A 20,005-nucleotide genomic window follows, 5' to 3' on the forward strand; every position below is an offset into this window, starting at 1 on the left:
TATCTGGGTGGTCAGGGAAAACCTCTCTTAAGAAAGGCAGTTTAAGCTGAAACTTGTTGAGTGACAAGGAACCAGTCTAGCAAGAAGGGGAAAGGGAGAGACGAAGCTGGGAGGAAGAACTTTTCAGCAGGTTCAGAGACTAAGGTGGGTAACAACGTGAGATGTTGGAGAACTCAAAGGGAGTCACTGTGCTGTGGTTCACTCCTGTGCTCAGTCCCTGGCCGTGAACCCAGCTACTACTGAGAGAACTGCACGCCCAAGGGCAAGTTACAGATTAGTTATCTGACCTGGAAAATGTGGATAATGGTGCCTCCTCAAAGGGTTGTGCAGATTAAATAAGAGAAACTGTATTCATAGCTATGGTATTTTCTTTTTGTTGTTGTTACACATATTGCTGAATAACCAAATTTAGCTCCAAATGGAAACTTTATAAAGTGCTAACTAATAACAAAAATCCAGAAATACATTACAGACAAAATTAAGAATGGGGGAATCCAATTAAAAATAGAAGCCCTCTACTTTCTATCTCCAGAAAGAGGGGAGCAGATCTTGTTTTTTCTTAGTGTTTCTGCTTGGAGAGGAACTTTTCCAAATGGCATCTAATTTTTTTAAAGCCAAATTGTACAGCTGTCTATGCAGAACACTTTTCAGCATTTTAGTGTTTTAAGTTGGAAACTACTTATGTTCCTCCATCAAAGGTGTATGTATTCTCTTAAGGCATTCTAAACAAATGTTAGACTTTTAGTTGGTGGCGATTTAAAAATTTGTTTGTGCATGATTTCAAGTTTCCTCCAAAAGTTTTCAAAATAATGTCACATACTCTAAAACAGTATTGAATGCTTTGAGGCAAATGGCAGGCTTTTTGACTAAGTAAAAATAGGATAATGTTCGGGTTCATAAATGTAAGAAATTAGAAGCAATAATAAATCAAGGGAACTATGTAAGAAGAACAGCATGGCAGGTTTCGCTTTAAACTCTCCCTAGTAACCATATTGCACATGTCATCAGAAGACACATTCTAACCCTGCAAACGGAGCAAAGAACTGGACAGAGAGTGTCATTTAATGCAATGTTAAACAACAAGCCCTGAATTAAATTGCTATTTTAGGTTTGGGTGGGACCTTTGCATCTAAAGTATTGCAGTTTTACTCTGTGATTTGGGTCTGTTGGGTTCCAGTAAAGAGCAGGTGCTAACACTAGCTTTGAAGGATAGTATGAAACTGCAAGAAGAGCCAGGGCATACCAGTTTGTTTTTCAGTCTATTTTATTTCAGTTCAAAGCATCATTGCAGACAGGCAGCCCCGGAAAACGAGCCACACTTTGGCAACACTCACCTGCTTTTGGAGATTGAGGAAGACTGAGTATAACCCAAGTGTGGCTTGTTTTCTTGGACTATCTGTCTGCAATGATGCTTTGAACTGAAATAAAATAGATTGAAAAACAAATTAGTATGCCCTGTTGCCTCGTACTGAGTATTTACATTACCCTTCTCGAGTACTGCCTGAACCAGCACCCTGAGGGAAGGCAGTGACCCCTCAGCCTCTTTCAACTCTTCAGCAGAGTGAGCTCTTTGATTTTCACAAGGAAATTGAATTGGGATATATGGTTTTCTGGATCTCCAATAGTCTGCCTTCCAAAGCCATCATCTGGATAATGTGGAGAAAGCAAGCTACTAACCACATAGAGGAAAGAATTAAATATTAAGGGCATTTAAATTGAGAGATGAGATTGTCACTTTCTGTAAGTCTAGCAGAGAGTGCAGTATTTCATTTGCAGGGAGCATGCAGTTTTGAGACTCTGGCAGCCCTCGAGAGAGAAGGATAAGGAAAGAAAGCCAGCTTTCCTTACATTTCCCTAATGTTGTTATTTAACTCCAAATCCTCAAAATTATGATGCCACGTATTTCATTTCCTTACATAAATGTATTATGCTGATCCATGTAAGTCAGAGATTGTTAATCTCAGGGTAAATGGTTGAATTTCAAGAGACCCATGAATCCTTTGAAGTTGCCTGCAAATTTGTGTGAATGTCATTTTTTCTGGGGAGAGAGCCAGTTACTTTAATCTGATCTCAGAAAGGCCCTTGACCCTTTAAAAGGTGCAGAACCAACAATGAAACATCACATGTAACATCACCTAACTGAAGGCGCGATGAGAATCTCCCCTGAAACCAGGTACTGTTTCACTGCTCTGTAACCTTAATCTCAGATTTTAAGTCTTTTCAGGCTTTGTTTTCTGTCTAAAGTGGTCAAGCATAGTTGAATGTTTGTGTAACATAGATATCTGCCCATTGAACTGCTTCATAAATGCCTTACAGATGGTTGTTGTTAATTTACATGAGACTGGTGAGATGTGGACCTATTGTCTAGGCAACCTCGTTAGCAGATATCATAACTGTTTCTACTGATAGAGGAAAGGAGGAGGTAGTGGAAGCTCACTGCTTTGTTTCTAGGCATCAGCTTCTTGCAGATGGAGTCAGTTCCTCAGACTTAACGAAGGCTGGGTTAAAAGGGAAAGAAGGCTGGGCACAGTGGCTCATGCCTGTGATCCCAGCACTCTGGGAGGCTGAGGCAGGAGGATCACTTATGCAAGCCCAGGAGTTGAGGCTGCAGTGAGCTGTGATCAGACCACTGCATTCCAGTTGAGACCCTGTCTCTATTTTTTTTTTTTAAAGGAAAGAAGAAGAGGGGAGGGGATAGACTTGAGGAAGCAGAGGATTAAAGAAAGAAAGGCTGTTTCCCTGCATTTGTCCACAGAGTCCCCTCTCTTTATCTCTGTGAAAAGAAAAAGCTGCTATATTGAGGCAAAACCTATCTCAGAATTTAACTAATACTTGGACTTCTGAAAAAGGCAATTCATAAATGTAATTTCTGGTTTTATTAGTACCCAAAGGGAAACAAAAACAAGGAAATATCTTTATCTTAGGATATTCTGTAAAACTGGGACCTCAATAGAAAACTCCTATAGGCCAGAGTTTGGCTCATAGAGTGTTTAAAAAGTAGTTACTTCCATTTAAGCATTAGAGATTTTCCATCTGTCTGACCCCTGGAGGCGTTTGCATGAGCGACCTCTGCTGCAGGCACTAGCGTGGTTCTGGAACAGGACCAAACAGTAGAGGATGCTTTATGCAAGAAATGGGCCAAGAAGGATGAGGAAATTAGAAACAAAGGATTATAACTGTAAATAATAGGTTTTCAGGCTCCAAATATTGGTTATTTGTTGGTTAATATTTGTTAGCTAGTGTTAGCTATAGTGGGGTTATTTTTAGCATAAAAACAAAGGTGAACGGTAGGTGATTCTATTTCTTATTTTGAGAAAATACTGTAAGAGGTAATCTAACCTGCTAATTTCGTCCTATTTCTCAGCTTTCTAGGACTGGGGCCTGACCATTGAGTCTTCCTGAGTTTTCCTTCTTGACTCCTTTTGCTCCTTGTCCCCATTAGCTCCAGAAGATGGTCTCCAGGGCATTGGCAGCAGTGAATTTGCCATCTTTCTTCCACCTGGTACTTCTCCCTGGTTCTTAGGCTCAGTGGATGGCACCACAGAGTTGCCAAAGGCAGAAACCTGGGAATGGTGCCATGATCTTCTCTTTCAGCACATATTTAGTTAGGCTACAGGACTGTTGATTTCTTCTACCCTTTCTCTTCCTTTGGTTAGAGTTGCTATAATCTCTTGTCCTGGATTATGAAACAGCCTTCTAGTTGGTCAGTGGCTTTCAGCTTCATTCCTCTCCAATCTATTTGGTACACTGTTACCAGTGGTCTTTATAAAGCACAGATCGGAATATGTGATTCCCTTGCTTTAAAACTCTTGGATGGCTTGCCTGCCCTTAGGATGGTCCAGCAAGTGCTACCCTCCAACTGTGGCTGTGCCTGTCTCTCAAGCCTCTGAGCAGCCCCTCCTCCCACAATTCACCTTATATTGAGCACCAGTTGAAATCTCTCAGTGGCCACAGGACTTCATCCTTTCTGGGGCCAGTGGGCCACATTCCAAGGCTTCAAGGCTGCTCCCTCTCCCTGGACTTCCCTGCTGCTGGTATCAACCAGGCCAGTAGCAATGCCATTATCTACACTGACCTTTATATTACTGAATGCTGTTTGGGTTTTCTGTTATTCCTTTTTTCCTTAGAATATATGCTACTTGAGATGTGTAGTCAGATATTGTCTTAAAGTCACTTGATGTAATTATCTTCTGTGTAGTTGTATCACCAACTTCATAAACAGGCTCTTTTTCTTGAATACTTTTTTAAAAAATTAATTAATTTTGAGAATGGATTAGGAAACTGGCCAATTTTTATGATTTTTGGTAGAGATGGGGTTTCACCATGTTGCCCAGGCTGGTCTTGAACTCCTGGCCTCAAGCAATCCACCTGCCTCGGCCTCCCAAAGTGCTGGGATTACAAGTGTGAGCCACTGTGCCAGGCTGTCATTGGTTTTAAACTTTAAGGATTGCTATTAAAAATTAAATTCCTTTTTACCAAGAAGTTTTTATTTCATACCTAAACCCTTCTTCTCTGTTTCTCCTGTCTTGCTAACAAAGTATGCTGTTAAAGTTTTGGGGTTTTGCCAATCTGTCAGGTAAGAAATAATATTTCAGTATAGCTTAAATTTGTTGTTTCTTTTTATGAGATAAAGGATATATCATGTCTGTGATACAGATTGCAAATATATTTTTCCAGTTGTCATATGCTTGACTTTGTATATATTGTTTTATTTCTATCCAAGTTTTATATCTTTATATAGTTGTGTTTCTCAGTCTTACCGTGTATTGCTTTGGATTTGCAGTCATAGTTAGGATATTTGCCCCACTCTCAATTTATGGAGCATCCATTTATATTTTCTTCTAGTACATGTAAGGCTTATGATTTCACTTTTTAAAAAACATTTAAGACTCTGATCCATTTGAAATTTATCTTAGTATTTGGTTTGAGGAAGGATCTGATTTTATCTTTATCCCAATGGCCAGTCAGTTGTCTCAACAGTACTTATTAAAAACTTTTTTCTTCACTGATTTGAGATGCTGTCTTTATTGAATACTAAGCCTTTGTATGCATTTAGATTTCTTACTGGATTTTCTGTTTTGTTCCATTGGTTTGATTGCCAATTCATATGCTGTTACAAAATCATCTTAATTTTAGAGGCTTTATCATTTAACATCTGGAAGGGCCAATTTTTAAAATATTGCTCTTTTTCAGGGTTTTCCTGGCTGTTTTTGCTTGTTTATTCTGGCATATGAACTTAATAATCAATTTGTCTGGTTTCAAGAGGAGATGACTTGATGGTATTTTTATTAGGATTGTGTTACATTTTATAAATTAGCTTAGGGAGAACTAGCATCTTTACCATATTGACTCTTCTATCCAAGATTATGGTCTGTCTTTTCATTTGCTCAAAGCTACTTTGGTGATTTTTCAGGAGTGTTACATGTTTTTCCTTATATAAAATCTGTATGCTTCTTTTTCAGTTTATTAGACCTTTATTCTTAACATTTAAAAAATAATAATTCTGTTTAGAATCCCTCCAGAAGATCCTAGAGAAGTTCTACACACCCACATATTCCAAACATTTTGCATGCGACTTCAAATTATTCCTTGATACCTCCCCCCTTAAAGCTCATCCTATTATATTGTTCCCTAAATCTCCTTCTTTTGTCCACCTTCATCTCTTTCTCACTCTCACCTCTTAGCACTGTGTCCTGCGTACAGTTCAGTCAGAACATATTTGCTGAATGGATGAATAAAGTAGTGAGGGGAGAATGAAGGTGGGTGAAAGAGTGAGAGCCCGTTAGACTCTATTTGGAAAGGTCATCCTTGTTGTATTTCTAAGTCTGCAGCCATTGATTCACTGGGTCATAGTACTTGGTTCTCCTCTTTCCTCCATTCCAAAACTTTTTTAAAAGTTCTGGTGAACTTTAAAATTTTCATAATATTAAAATATAATAATTCATGTCTTAACATTATATGACATTTCACATCATGTTGATAATAATAGTTACCATTTATTGAACACATACAAAATACCAGGCAGTGTACTAGGTATTCTACAGTATTGTTTCATGTAACCCTCACAACAACTAAGCAATAGGTATTATTACTGCCGTTTCTAAAAATTAAGAAAATTTGCAAATATAAAAGTGAGAGTAGCATTATGAGCTCCCATATACTTGTTAACTTCATTTTACCCTTGAGAAAACAGGTTTTGAAAGGTTAAGTAACTCAAGGTTACAAAGCTAACGTCAGATTTAGAACCCAACTCTTTATAGCTCCTTATTAAAAATTGTTTTTCAAACTTTAGGCTCTAGCTGGCCAGGGAAGAGCAGAAGGAAAGGAGAGAGTCAAGACCCACTCTTCAAACTAGTATAGTATTATAGAAGACTCTAATAGTAGTCTTCCCATCTACGAATTCACACCCAGATACTTCCTTCTCTACTCACTGCAGACAGTAAACCCTCCCATCTTTCCCCCTTTACTGCTTCTCATGTGCTCTTCTCACTCTGTCTTCTATTTCTCTAGTTGTATTACTACAATCTGATATTGGTTGGTTTTCAAAGGCTTGCCACTGTTTTGAATACTTACCTCCTAGTATGATGTCGTGAACATAGTGGGAACCAATATATTTAAATTAAATAACAATGAAACTTGCTCTTAATCATTTAGCATATAAGTTTGGCATGGTACTTGTTACTTTTGAATGTTGCTCTGAAGGCCTGAAGTCATTCAGTTTGACCACTCTAGACACAAGCTGCTCATTCAGTTGGTACTCTGCTGTCAGTTCTCCTCAGTTGTAGTCAGGTTAAAACCAGAGGGAGACTGGCTAAGGTCAGAGTCCAAGACAGCAGAATAATTGGCCCCTAGAGTTCCGTTGTTTTTTTTTTTTTTTTTCTGGACAGTAAAATGTTGAGGATGAAATTTCCGTATATTCCTTTGAACATTTTTGAGCAAATACTATAGAATCCCATAGGCTCTTTCCCAACATTAACAGCAATAGAGAAGTTATCCTCTTTTACGTTTTTTTGTTAGCTCCTTAAGTTAACCCTCTTGACATACTCCCTGGTGATGGAGGGAAATAGAGAGATGAAAATAATTCCCACTTCTTCAAAGACAAAAGAAAAAGCTTATAACACTAGGAGGAGACGAGAAAGGAGTTGATCTGTGAAATGTACACAGAGGGGTACTGAAGGCTGAGTGATCTGAGTAGTGTGATAGGACAGTGTTGCTGGAAGTTGGGGGTCTGTAGTCTCTTCAGTGCTCTGGTACTTAACTACAAAAGTGTGAGGAAAGAAGGATTTAAGCTGAAAGTGGTCTCTTCTTCCCAGCTGTGCCATAAGCTCCTTGAGAGCAGGGATTATGCTGAATTTCTTCTCTGTGTAGTGCCAAGCCTCAGTTAAGGTCATTCGGCTGAGCTCAGTGACAATCTGCTGGATTGACAAGCACATCTTTTTCGCTGATAGGGCTGGGACACAGCCTTGGGGTCACACTGGGGCCACATGGGCTCCCACATCCTTCAGCTGCCCTGTTACCAAGGTGCACAGCCTTGAACAAGTAGGAAGTGGCAGGGAGGGTTGAGGAATGTGTGTGCGGTGTCTCACCTGCACAGAATAAGTAGGCTCTACATCTCCATTATCTGTTCTTATTTAAAAACCACTTCATTAATAGGGTATCCTTGTAATGCCTCTGAACAGGGAAGTTATCAAAAAAGTAGGAGAAAGAATCTAAGGTTAAGAACTTCACCACTTTTTAAATTTTAAAGTTTGGGCAGTATCACTCAGTGGTCAAAGTTTCGGCTCTAGAGTCAGACAGCATGAGTTCACTGACTGACTCTACCACTCACTGGCTTTGTGATTTGGGGCAGGTCATTTAATCTCTCTAGGCCTCCACTTCCTCATTTGAAAGTGGGGTTAATAATAGTAACTATCTCACTGGTTTTGCAAAAATTATTTAAGGCCACCAATGTAAAGTGCTTGGCACAATACCTGAGATATAATAAATGCTTAATAAATGTTAGCTATTATTGTTAACCTCTCAAACGCATTCTTCTTCCCTTTTCCAAAATGTTGTCGTCTTTACGTTCCACTTAGAATATATATCTAAGCCATAGGTAACGGGAAGAGTCTCATTTCTGTCATTAATGAACTGGAAGATCTTAAAACACTTTACATTTCAAGGCTGTGGTTTCCTCATCTATGAAATGTGGGAATTGGGCCAGGTGATTTCAAAGTCCTTTGCATCTTCTAATTTTTAATGAGTTTAAGGTTTTGTATGAAATCTCTGATTATAGCCCAGCCGTCTTGTTATGAGAAGTCGGACTCTCCCCACTTTCTCTCTTTCCTGGCTTAGTCTCATTCCAGTCCAGCTGTATGAAATGAGCAATGCAGTTGTCTATGAATTCTTTTCTTTTAAAAAAATTATGTGACATTTGACATATATAGAAGATACATATGTAACTTGAAAGTGATGAAGCAGAATGATAAAAAGCAAATACTTTGATAGGTGTATTTTATGCTTCCTTTTCCAAAGGTAGTAACACCTAACATTTAGTGACTGTTAACAGTGTTACAGGAACTGCTGTTTATGTGTATTGACTCATTTACACGTAGTAGCTCATTCATACAACTACCTCATGAAATAAGCACTAATATTATCCCCATTTTACATATGAGAAGACTGAGGCCAAGAGAGTTAAGCAACTTGACTAAAATTTAGCTGGTAAGAGGGGCAGAGCTGGGATTCATGCTCCTGGTTCTCTCTAGAGCCTGCGCGCCACACCTTTACTGTAGAGCACATAGCCGCTGGCATCACAGTGCCTGGTGTGTTACTCTTTAGTTGCCAGGGCCCCTTAATTTTTACATTAGATGGGTATCTGTGAATTCTGGAATTTGGTACTGTATTTATGTGTGACCCAGATTTATTCCCTGATGAAGAAAAGTGTATTATAATCAATCTGATGAAAACTTAGTTATCGTCCGTGTTTTCAGGGCAGAGCAAAATGCCTTTCAGTACCAGTGACAAAGCAAAGGGTCTTTTTGATACCTAAGAGATTGGATTTGAAAGCATTGGAGTGGTAATTGCTTGTTGAGACTCCTGACTGCAGGATGGAAAAGTTGGCCTTAAGTATAATGTGGTCACAATCCCTAATCACTCATTAGATACATGTGTCGCTCAGGAGATTTTGCAGTTTGGTCTGTAAAGAGTTATCTTGGATGAACTACTGGATCAGAGCAGCATGGCCTGGAAAGGCACCTAAATCTCTCAAAGCCTCCTTCTGTTATAACAGTCTTGAAAATTGCTTGTTTCTATGAATTAGTCAGAAGATAAGAGGACATAAGCAGTTTGTTACGCTGAACATTTTGATATTTTGCCTCATTGTATTTTGTAGAACACCTCAAAAGAAGTTTCATTAGAAATGGAGAGAATCTGGAAAAAGAAATTAATTGAAAAGAATGGTTATTATAGGCACATCAGGAATCAGATGCTACCTACCAGTTTTGAAAACAAACATTTCTAGTGGTCCTTAATCTTCTCCATGTCTCTATCTCCTTGACAATCTGTGAGATGATAGTGGTGGGGCAGTGATCATGATCATGGCAGCTAGCAGCTAATTATTGAGCACTTGCTATGTCCCTGGCCTGTGGTGCCAGTGCTTTAGGTGTAACTCATTTAATCTTCCAGCAGCCCAATGAGAAAGGTACTATTACTATCTGCATTTTGTAGATGAGGAAACAGAGCTCCTAATAGGTTAGGTAATTTGCCCAGGATCACACACTTTGTAATTGAACATTCAAGATTCGCACCCGGGTAGTCTGGCTCCAGCTCTGGCCTTTAACCACTAAGCTACATTGCTCATGAAAGCCGTGGGCCCTCTCCCCCAGAAAGGGTGTAGTTGGGCAACATTACATGGGCAGTAATTTAAAGAGCTTCTGGACTCTTCTTCCCCTATCCAGTCCATTGATTTGGGTTCAAACCCTACCCTAGACTTATGTCAGTTCCTTTCAGGCAGAGATTATGTCTTATATCTGTGTTTGGTACATAGCAGGAGCTAAATAAATGTTTAATGAATGAATGGTATGTTGGAAATGACACTAGCTTTAAAGCCAGCCCCACCTGTCTGGGATTTTATTCTTAAATTTCCTGTTATAAGGTTTATGCATGTTTACTATAGAAAATTTTATAACATATGAAGAAGAAAATAAGTCTGCCATAATGACAGTACCTAGGATAACCACTCTTAGCATTTTTCTGTATTTTCTATATTTTTAAATGCAAATATGTATATGCATGCACACATATTTTTAAACCAAATTGGAATTATACACGTATTCAGTTGCATGCTGGTTGTTTTCTTTTTAGTATATCGAGAGCATTTTCCTACGTCATTAAAAACCTTCAAGTGCCTTTTTTTCCCCCACAAAAGTATTTATATGTAATTTACATACCATAGAATTTACCATTTTAAAGTGTACAATTCAAACATCTGTGTAACTGTTATGGGATCTTTAGGGTGTCGATTTTCTTCCTGGAAACCTCTGTTGGCTGTTGGTGCCTTTGCCCAACCTCTTGTCCTGCATCCAGGTATGCAGACAAGTGAAGGGTGAAGAAAACAAAGAGCAGATTTATTTAGTGTTAGAACAGCTCAGAGGAGACCCGCGATGGTTAGTTCCCCTCTGTAGGCAGGCAGGTTGTCTGTCGAGTGTTCAGCTCTCAGTAGAGAGGAAGCCCTGGAGAGGGTAGCTCCTCTCTGCTTGCTGGTTGACTAGACGTCTGCTGCTCTCAGCAAAGAGGAGGCCCTGGAGAGGGTAACTCCTCTCTGCGGGCAGGTCATTTGGCGGTCTCTGCAGGTCTCTGAAGTTCTCAGCAGAGAGGGTAGCTCCTCTCTGTAGCTAGTCATCCCATGTCTACTCAGCTGTGGCTGAGTCCGGGGCTTTTATGGGCCTCAGAGGGGAGGAAGTGCGGTATGTGCCAGTTGGCCCATGGGTGGCCATGGGCGGGCCTGGAAAAGGCACCAGTTCCCACTCTGGTCAGTGGGACTGGCAGCCAGGCCCCCCAGCCTTCAGGCCCCTGCCTGGCCTGAAGGAGGGACCTTACTGGGACCTGCCCCCTTCTACCTGGGACTCTGTCTGCCTGCTGTTGTTCATGGTGCTTGGGCTCTGCCCAACTTTGCTCCAGATTGAGATCGGAGTGGGTGCTGATAGCAGGGAGAAGCCAAACAGTGGGGGCAGGTGCTTCTGAGCCTGTGAGGGTGGGGCCTTCCCAGACCCCCAAGAGTGCAGGGATGCCTGAGTTGCAGCCATGGTTTGGGGGGTTTCAGCTGCCCCATGGGGGGCAGGGCTTCTGCCTGCTTCTGGCTCCCCAAGAACACAAGGAGGCTCATATCTGCAGCCACAACTTGGGTGGTGCCCCTGCCTGCTCCGTGGAACATGTAGCCCTGCCCAGGCCTCCTTGCTTCAGCCAGGATAATGGCAGGCCAACTGGATCAGCTGCCACCATTATAACCATCACCACTTTCCAATTCCAGAACGTGTTTTATCACTCTGAAACCCCCCCTGTACCTGTTAGTAGTCACTCCCCATTTACTCTTCCCCAAAGAGTCTGGTAACCACTAATCCACTTTCTGTCTCTATGGATTTGCTTATTCTGGACATTTCATATGAATGGAATCATATACAGCAATATGTGGCCTTTTATGTCTGGCTAAACTGGCTTTTACTTAGCATAATGTTTTCAAGATTCATCCATGTTGTAGAATGTATCAGTACCTCCTTTTTATGGATGAATAATATTCCATTGTTTACATGTATAATATTTTGTTTGTCCATTCATAAGTTGATGGACATTTAGGTTGTTTGCATTTTTTGGCCGTTAGGCTTAATGCTCCAATGAACATTAATGTACAGGTTTTTGAGTGGATCCATGTTTTCATTTGTCCCAGATATATACTAGGAGTGGAACTGCTGGGTCATATGGTGTCTCTGTGCTTAACTCTTTGAGAAACTGCCAGACTGTTTTCCACAGGGGTGGCACCATCTTATGTTCCCACCAGCAATTCCGTGAGGGTTCCAGTTTCTCCATATTCTCAGCAACACTTGTATTTTCTGTTTTCTGTTTTATTTTATTATACCCATCCTAGTGTTATGTGAAGTTGTCTCTCACTACAGTTTTGATCTGCATTTACTAATGACTGATGATGAACATCTGTTCATGTACTTACTGGCCACTTTGCCTGTCTTTGGAGAGATGTGTATTCAAATCCTTTGCCCATTTTAAAATTGGCTTATTTGTCCTTTTATTGTTGAGTTGTAAGAGTTCCGGATACTAGATTCTGGTACACTATATGTATTCTGAATACTAGACCTTTATCAGATATGTGATTTGAAAATACTTGTTCCCATTCTGTGCAGTGTCTCTTTACTTTCATGATGATGTCCTTTGATAAACAGACATTGAAAAATATGATGAAATTCGATTTATTTATTTATTGGGGGATTACATGTTCTTTTAGTGTCATATAGAGAGCCTAATTTTATGGCTGCATAATATTCCATAATATGGCTGTATGCCATATTTACTTTAAAACCTCGTATATTTAAGTTTGTCTGCAGGGTTTTTTTTAACCATTAATACTATTGCTGCGAATATAGTGTACATAAATATTTCATTGCATATATAATTAATTATTTCTGATAGATTCCTAGAAGTGATTCTAAAAGGCATAAACATTAACATTTTTTTTCCTGCTACTATCATGGATTTCTCATTCTTTTTTATCTGGAATTATACAGCTTGTATATAAAGTAACTCTGGTAAAACATTCAAGCAGTGCAAGTAAAGTATACTTTTCCCCACCCTGCAAATTCTCGAGTCTCTAAGGACATTTTTATAGCTTTAGATGAGCAGATTACTCCCAGATTATTTACCAGCCTTGTTTCCTAAAAAGTTTTACCAGATTATACTTCCATCAGCATTGTGTGGGTACCTAGCCCATTGCTCCCTCTCCTATGTTATTAGTGCAAGTAGTTTTGTTTTTGTTTTTTGAGACAGAGTCTCGCTGTGTCACCCAGGCTGTAGTGCAGTGGCGCAATCTCTGCTCACTGCAATCTCTGCCTCCCTGGTTCAAGCAATTCTGCCACCTCAGCCTCCTGAGTAGCTGGGATCACAGGTGGGCACCACTACACCTGGCTAATTTTTGTATTTTTAGTAGAGACAGGGTTTCACCATGTTGGCCAGGCTGGTCTTGAACTCCTGACCTCAAGTGATCCTCCCACCTCAGCCTCCCGAAGTGCTGGGATTACAGACATGAGCCACTGTGTCAGGCCTGTTTTTTTTTTTTTTTTTTTCCTGATAATAATAGCAGGCTGGGCACAGTAGCTTATGCCTGTAATCCCAGCACCTTGGGAGGCCAAGGCAGGAGGATCCCTTGAACCCAGGAGTTCGCGAGCAGCCTGGGCAACATAGGGAGACCCTGTCTACAAATCAAAAAATTAGTCAGGTGTAGTGGCTCATGCCTGTAGTCCTAGCTACCTGAGAGGCTGATGCGGGAGGATTGCTTCAGCCCAGGTGGTCAAGGCTGCAGTGAGCCAAGGTCGCACCACTGTACTTCAGCCTGAGTGACAGAGCAAGACCCCATCTCAAAAAAAAAAAAAAAGAAAAGAAGCTAATACTTATTGAGCATTTACTGTTGACAGTCACTTTGCTAAAGCAATTCAGGTGCATTCTCTCATTTCATCTTCACACTAAAACTATAAGGATGTTAAGGCTCACAGTGATTAAAGTGATATGCCCAAGGTCACCGAGTAAGTGTTCAAGTTAGTTCTGCCAAATCCGAGTCCACGGTCTAAAACACTATTTCCCAATTAAATACTGTCACTGAAAAACTTTTGATTCCATGTTTTGATTTGCGTTTCTTTAATTATTCACCAGGCTGAATTTTTAATCAGTTTATTGACTTTTAATTTTTTGTGAATTATCTATATTTTTCTTTTTAAAATTTAAAATGTTAATGTTTCCTTTTTTTTTTTTTTTTTTTTTTTTTTTGGAGACAGGATGTCGCTCTGTTGCGTATGCTGGAGTGCAGTGACACAATCATGGCTCACTGCAGCTTGAAACTCCTGGGCTCAAGTGATCCTCCTCCCTCAGCCTTCCAACTAGCTGGGAGTATAGGCATGTGCCACCATGCCTGGCTGGCTTTTTTTTTTTTTTTTTTTTTTTTTTTTTAGTTTTTGTAGAAATGGGGTCTCACTCTGTTGCTTAAGCTGATCTCGAACTCCTGGGCTCAAGTAATCCTCCTGCCTTGGCCTCCCAAAATGTTGGGATTATAGGCATGGGCTGCCATGCTTGGTGTTTCCTTATTGATTTGTATAATCTTTCTTTTTTGGTTTGTTTAGTAGGGACAGGGTCTTGCTCTATCACTCAGGCTGGAATACAGTGGCACAATCATAGCTCACTATAGCCTTGACTGCCTAGGCTCAAGTAATGTCCCCACCTCAGCTACCTGAACAGCGAGGACTACAGGTGTACTCCACCACACTTGGCTAATTTTTTGGTATTTTTTTTAGAGATGGAGTGTCACTATGTTGCCCAGGCTAGTCTTGAATTCCTTGTCTCAAGGGATCCTCCTGCCTTGGCCTCCCAAAGTGCTGGGATTATAGGCATTGAGCCACTGTGCCTGGTTGTCACTTCCTTTAAGCCATGAAGTGTTCACTGGTTTATCATTTATGTTTTAATTTTGTTGATGGTGTTTTGTTTTAAAGCTTACATTTTTATGTAGTCAAATCTATTGATCATTTGTGAATTTCTTCTGTTTCCTTTATGCGTAGAAAAGCCTCTTCCAGTTATGTTTTCATTAATGTATTACTTCTTTTTTTTTAAGAGACACAGTCTCACTATGTTGCCCAGGATAGAGTGTGGTGTCTGTTCGCAGGTGTGATCAAAGAGCACTACAGCCTTGGCCTCCTGGCCTCAAGCCATTCTCTTGTGCCAGCCTCCTGAGGAGCTGGGACTACAGGTACATGCCATTGCACCCGGCTATATTAATAGTCACCTAAATGTTTTTGAGGTCAAGTCACAAATCCACCTGATAGGGTTTTTTTGTTTTTTTGTTTTTTGTTTTTTTTTATGAGACGGAGTCTTACTCTGTCACCCAGGCTGGAGTGCAGTGGTGCGATCTTGGGTCACTGAAACCTCCGCCTCCTGGCTTCAGGCAATTTTCCTGCCTCAGCCTCCTGAGTAGCTACCACGCCCGACTAATTTTTGTATTTTTAGTAGAGACGGGGTTTCACCATGTTGGTCAGGCTGGCTTTGAACTCCTGACCTTAAATGACCGCCTGCCTTGGCCTCCCAAAGTGCTGCTATTACAGGTGTGAGCCAGTGTGCCCGGCCCCACCTTATAGTTCTAGTGGCAGTGGATTGGGAAATTTGTAATCATATGTTTGCATATATTTTGGGCAGTTTTATGACTTAAAGATAGTTATTTTTTTGCTGAAAGAGCCATCAGTGGTTGAATTTTAATCAACATTCGAAGAAAAAAATGATAAACAGGCTGTATAACCAGCCTAGTGCTTCAGCAGCATGTGAGATGCATGGAAGCCCTCCCCACTGAAGCCCTGTTGTGTGTACTTAGGAGTTTGGTATCTTGGTTCAAATACTGGCTTAAAAGCTCAGAAACCTGGATCCTGGTTCTGGCCCTGCTGTTGCCTGTTATAGATTTATGACTTGAGCAGGTCACTTGATTTCTATCAATTCTTTCATCTGTAAAATAATAGGGCTGAATTACATAATCTCTGAGGATAATTCTAGTTGCATAATTCTGACTGTTATCCTTCTGATAAGGAATCATTTCATGTACATTTGGTATCGATAAGTTTTTTATAAAGTTTTAAGTGGCATGAAGGAAGGGAGAGTAGTAACAAGTGAATGAAGTGTGTGGGAGAAAGGAGTGGGTGGGGGAACAGAGAAAGGGAACAAGGAATGAGTCTGCCACAGCCAGTGTATGGCAGATGGCCCAGAAGGAAGCTAGAAGGGGGATAAATCTGAAGTGAGCTGGGAGCTTCATTGGGCTTCGGCTTCTTGAAGGAGGAGTAGTTCTGATCTGGTATAGACAGATGTCCCGAGCGTCAAAAGAAAAGCCTATGGTCAGGGCCAGTAGGAGGGTACTCTGAGAGAAAGAGACTGAAAAATTAGCACATGGTCATGATTATTAGATACCTGCCAAAAGTTATCTCAAAGACAAAGCAATGCAACTATATCAATAGAAACTGGAGCCACAGAAGAGTCTAGGAACCCCGTAATAGACGAGACATCACAGAATGTCAGTTGGCAGTGCCCGTGCCGTGTAGTTGGCCCTCAGACTCCACCTGCCGGGTTGTGGGGCCAGGCATTTACTTTAATGGTAAAGACAGAGGCACCAGGCTTCCACTAAATGTTGGTTGCATACACCTAACTTCCTTTGCTGTCTTCTATGATTCTGAAGAGACTTTCTGATGTTATTTGACCTTGCCATTTGAATTTTTTCACAGATAACTGCAAAGAATAGGTATATTTCTCCTTGTGAATTAATGAATTGCCTTTCTGATTTGTGCTTCTTCTGTGTCTAGATAGTGCTATCCAACCTCCTCAAGTCCAGTTAACTTTAAGACTTTGACAGGTTAAGATTTCTGTATCGGCAAGGTTGACAACCAAACTAGACCTTTTGGTAAATTAAGTTGAAGCCATCTTGGAAAGTCTTCTGGCAGCCAGCCAGCTGGCCTATTCCAATAGCACTCTTTCCCAGATAACATATCACCATCCATCCTTTAGCAGAGACCAGCAGAAAAAACAAGGAGCCTCAAATGCAGGCACTCCTGCCAGGCCACCCAGCAGTCCATCTCTGCCTGTGAGGGATTGGGGAATGATGGCAGTGAGCCCAGAAATACTGTCAGCCAGAGAGATTAAAGTAGTAGTTAAGAACACGGAGCCAGGCACATCTGCATTTGGGCTCTGCTCAAACTTATTAGCTGTGTGGTCTTGTGGGTTATATAACCTTGCTTGACATTAGTTTCCTCATCTATAAAATAGGGATATAATGGTATCTACCTCATTGAGATGTTAGGGGAATTAAATGAGAAAGTGTGTGGAACGTGCTTAGCACAATGCCAGACATTATTACCATGATAGAGCAGTTGATGACCTTGCCAAAGGCATTTGAGAGCCTCAGGGATATGGAAAAGGGCAGAGACCAGTGGATTGGGCAAAAAAGATGTTTTAATCACCTCCTATTCACCCCATCCGAAGAGAGAGGGATTTCCACTGTAGGGTTATGGGGATGCTGAACACATGACACCTGACAGTGGACAGATGAGCTTGACAGCTGTAGTCACATATACTCACAGCCTGGAAGCTGGGATACCACACACCACGTAGGCCCACACGGGAGCTGCACTCGAGAGCAGAGTAAGCCACCGGCGAGGGGCTGTGGGAAGCAGCCTTTGTAGTGTCAAGAGCGGATGGTGCCCCCTGGTTCTGGCCAGAGGATATGATTGGCTTGTTTGAATAATTCCAGGGGCTGGCTGGGAACTGTAACCCACTCACTTCTCAAGAATAAGCAAGAGCTGTACCTGGTCCCCTTAGTAAGGAGGATTGTTTGGGCAGGGGACCTTATCCGTGGAGCACAATGGGGAGGGGTACTTGTGGTAGGCCATTTGAGGCCCTCGAGATTGTACTAGATGTCAAGTAAGCATGTAACTGAGCTGCTTTTTTTTTTTTTCAGAGTCTTGCTGTGTTGCCCAGGCTGGAGTCTGGAGTACACTGGTACAAACATGGCTCACTGAAGCCTCAACCTCCTGGGCTCAAGTGATCCTTCCACCTCAGCCTCCCAAGTAGCCGGGACTATAGGCACAGGCCACCACACCTGGCTAATTTTTTGTGTTTCTTGTAGAGACGGGGGTCTTGCCATGTTGCCCAGGCTGGTCTTGAACTCCTGAACTCAAGTGATCCTCCTGCCTCGGCCTCCCAAAGTGTTGGGATTACAGGCGTGAGCCACTCTGTCCAGCCTCATATTGAGCTTTAATTTTAGACTTTACACCACAAAAGAGAATACTAACCTTGAAATGCTGTTGAATACAGCTTTCAGGGGATCTGAGTAGGAGGCTATGGGAGAGAAGTAGAGGTGTTTGATTCTGTGAGAGACGACAGATGGCATAATGGCTAGAAAGGAAATGTCACAGTAGGTCATATATTGTGTCATGAGCCAAGATATCTTCACTGTGTTCAGTTCAGCATATATTTATTGGCTGGCTGTACCATTCTAGGTCCTTCGAGGCTTAACTAGGTCTGGTTGACCATTTCCTAGATCAAGAGCAGTGTGTCCTGGCACAGGATCCTGTTAGGTCTAGTTACTTTGGCAGCAACTGGCTAAAGCCTGGGGCCCTAGAAGATAGGCTGCTGGAATGCATTCCAAAAGAGTTTGGGTTGGTACCAGGAGGCCACAGAGCTATTTGCCTAAGGCCTGGTTGTTAGGATCCTCCATGTCATATGGATTTATTCCCAGAGATACTTTGGACATTGTTTTTCTGTCTGGAGCCAAGGGCAGGTGCAAAAGAGGGATTTGAGGGTGACTTGTGACTTTCTAGAGGTGAAGTGTTGCTTAAAACATATTTGATAATAATTAGATGTGATTTGAGATTAGGTATTGTTGTACAGCACTTTGCTACTCAGAGATGGTTCCTTGGACCAACAGCAGCTAGGTCACCCGGAGCGTATTAAAAATGAAGAGTCTGAGGCCCCACCCAGAACTTCTGAATCAGAATCTTTTCATTAGCAAGATCCGCAGGTGATTCTTATGCACATTAAAGTGTGAGAAACTGTTCTAGTGGATAAAGGGCATGAGCTTTCGGGTCAGACTGACTGTATGAAAATTTCTGTTCCTCTACTGATTTGCTATATGTCCTTGGGTCTGTTACTTAACTTCACTATCAGGGGCTTATTTGTAAATTGGGTTTAACTGTCTTGCTGGCTTGTTAGTATTAAAGGAGGTGATATGGAGAAAGAGCTTAGAAACATAGTAAGGTACTTAAATATCAGTAGCTATTAGTGGTTATTTGATAAATAATATTCTAGTATTATTTAGAATATGAAAAGAGAGTGCAGGATATCATTAGGGCTGACCCAGCCATGCGATGTGAATTGGTGATTGAGAAAAACATGGTCTCCTGAGCGGATGGGGCAGTGGATGTGTTTGGCTCACTGACCAGTTCCCTCAGGATGAGACTGTAACTGCTCATTTTAAGTAACCAAGCGTTGACAGCTATACTCTTAATGGCTTGTAAGCTCTTAGAAGGGAGAAATTATCTGCAAAAGTGGTAGCTAAATCTTAGCGTTCAGTGAGGCCTTGGCATTATAGAGGAAGGAACCATGTCTTAGGAATTGAACCTGAGTTCGAGTGTGGATTTTGCCATTTATTAGCTCTGTGGCCCTTAACAAGGCAGTTAACATCTCGGAGCCTTAGTCCTCATCTGTAAAACGAGGATAAGTGGGATTATGAGCTGTAAATCCCAGTATATAAGCAAAGTGTTATTAGCATCATCCCTACTTGATATCTACAACAGAGCTCACTAGACAGCCTCCCAAATCCCCAAAGGTGAATTTTATGCCTGATTCACACCCTTCAGAATCTTCAGTGCTGGCATTCTTCAGAGCTGTCCTGGCTGCCTGGATTTCCCAATGACTAGAATAGAATGTACCTTAGGAAGGCATACAGGCCATTCGAGTATCGCTCCAAATCTTGGAGAGTGGAACCGAAGCACACTAGCATTTGGGAAGGAATCATGATGACAGTGAAAGCATTTGAAACAATGATGATACATGTGAGAGATACTATCATGAACCCAGGAGTGTGAAATACAGAAATCTGCATCTCTTACACTCCACATTGTTGCCTTTCAGGCCCTCGGTACAAGAGAACAGACCAAATTACAGCAGCTTTTGAACTTGAGAAATCTGGGCCTACTAAAAGCTACAGTCACCCTTTCCTAACCTTACC

General features: G+C 41.3%; 1 protein-coding gene across 5 annotated transcripts in view, besides 1 other annotated feature; it reads left to right on the forward strand.

The window, feature by feature from the left end:
- Positions 1-20,005, forward strand: part of ZBTB40 (zinc finger and BTB domain containing 40) — a 102,246-nt gene that overhangs the window by 25,559 nt on the left and 56,682 nt on the right. The window lies entirely within an intron of this gene.
- Positions 10,897-11,044: a silencer, noted in NCBI's record as "fragment chr1:22791857-22792004 (GRCh37/hg19 assembly coordinates)". NCBI's record gives its function as "represses an EF-1alpha promoter that drives an FKBP-Casp9 reporter gene in an ReSE screen in phorbol 12-myristate 13-acetate-treated (for megakaryocytic differentiation) K562 erythroleukemia cells {active_cell/tissue: K562(+PMA)}" and the evidence as "EXISTENCE:reporter gene assay evidence [ECO:0000049][PMID:32094911]".

The sequence above is a fragment of the Homo sapiens genome, chromosome 1, assembly GCF_000001405.40.
Source record: "Homo sapiens chromosome 1, GRCh38.p14 Primary Assembly".
NCBI lineage: Eukaryota > Metazoa > Chordata > Mammalia > Primates > Hominidae > Homo > Homo sapiens.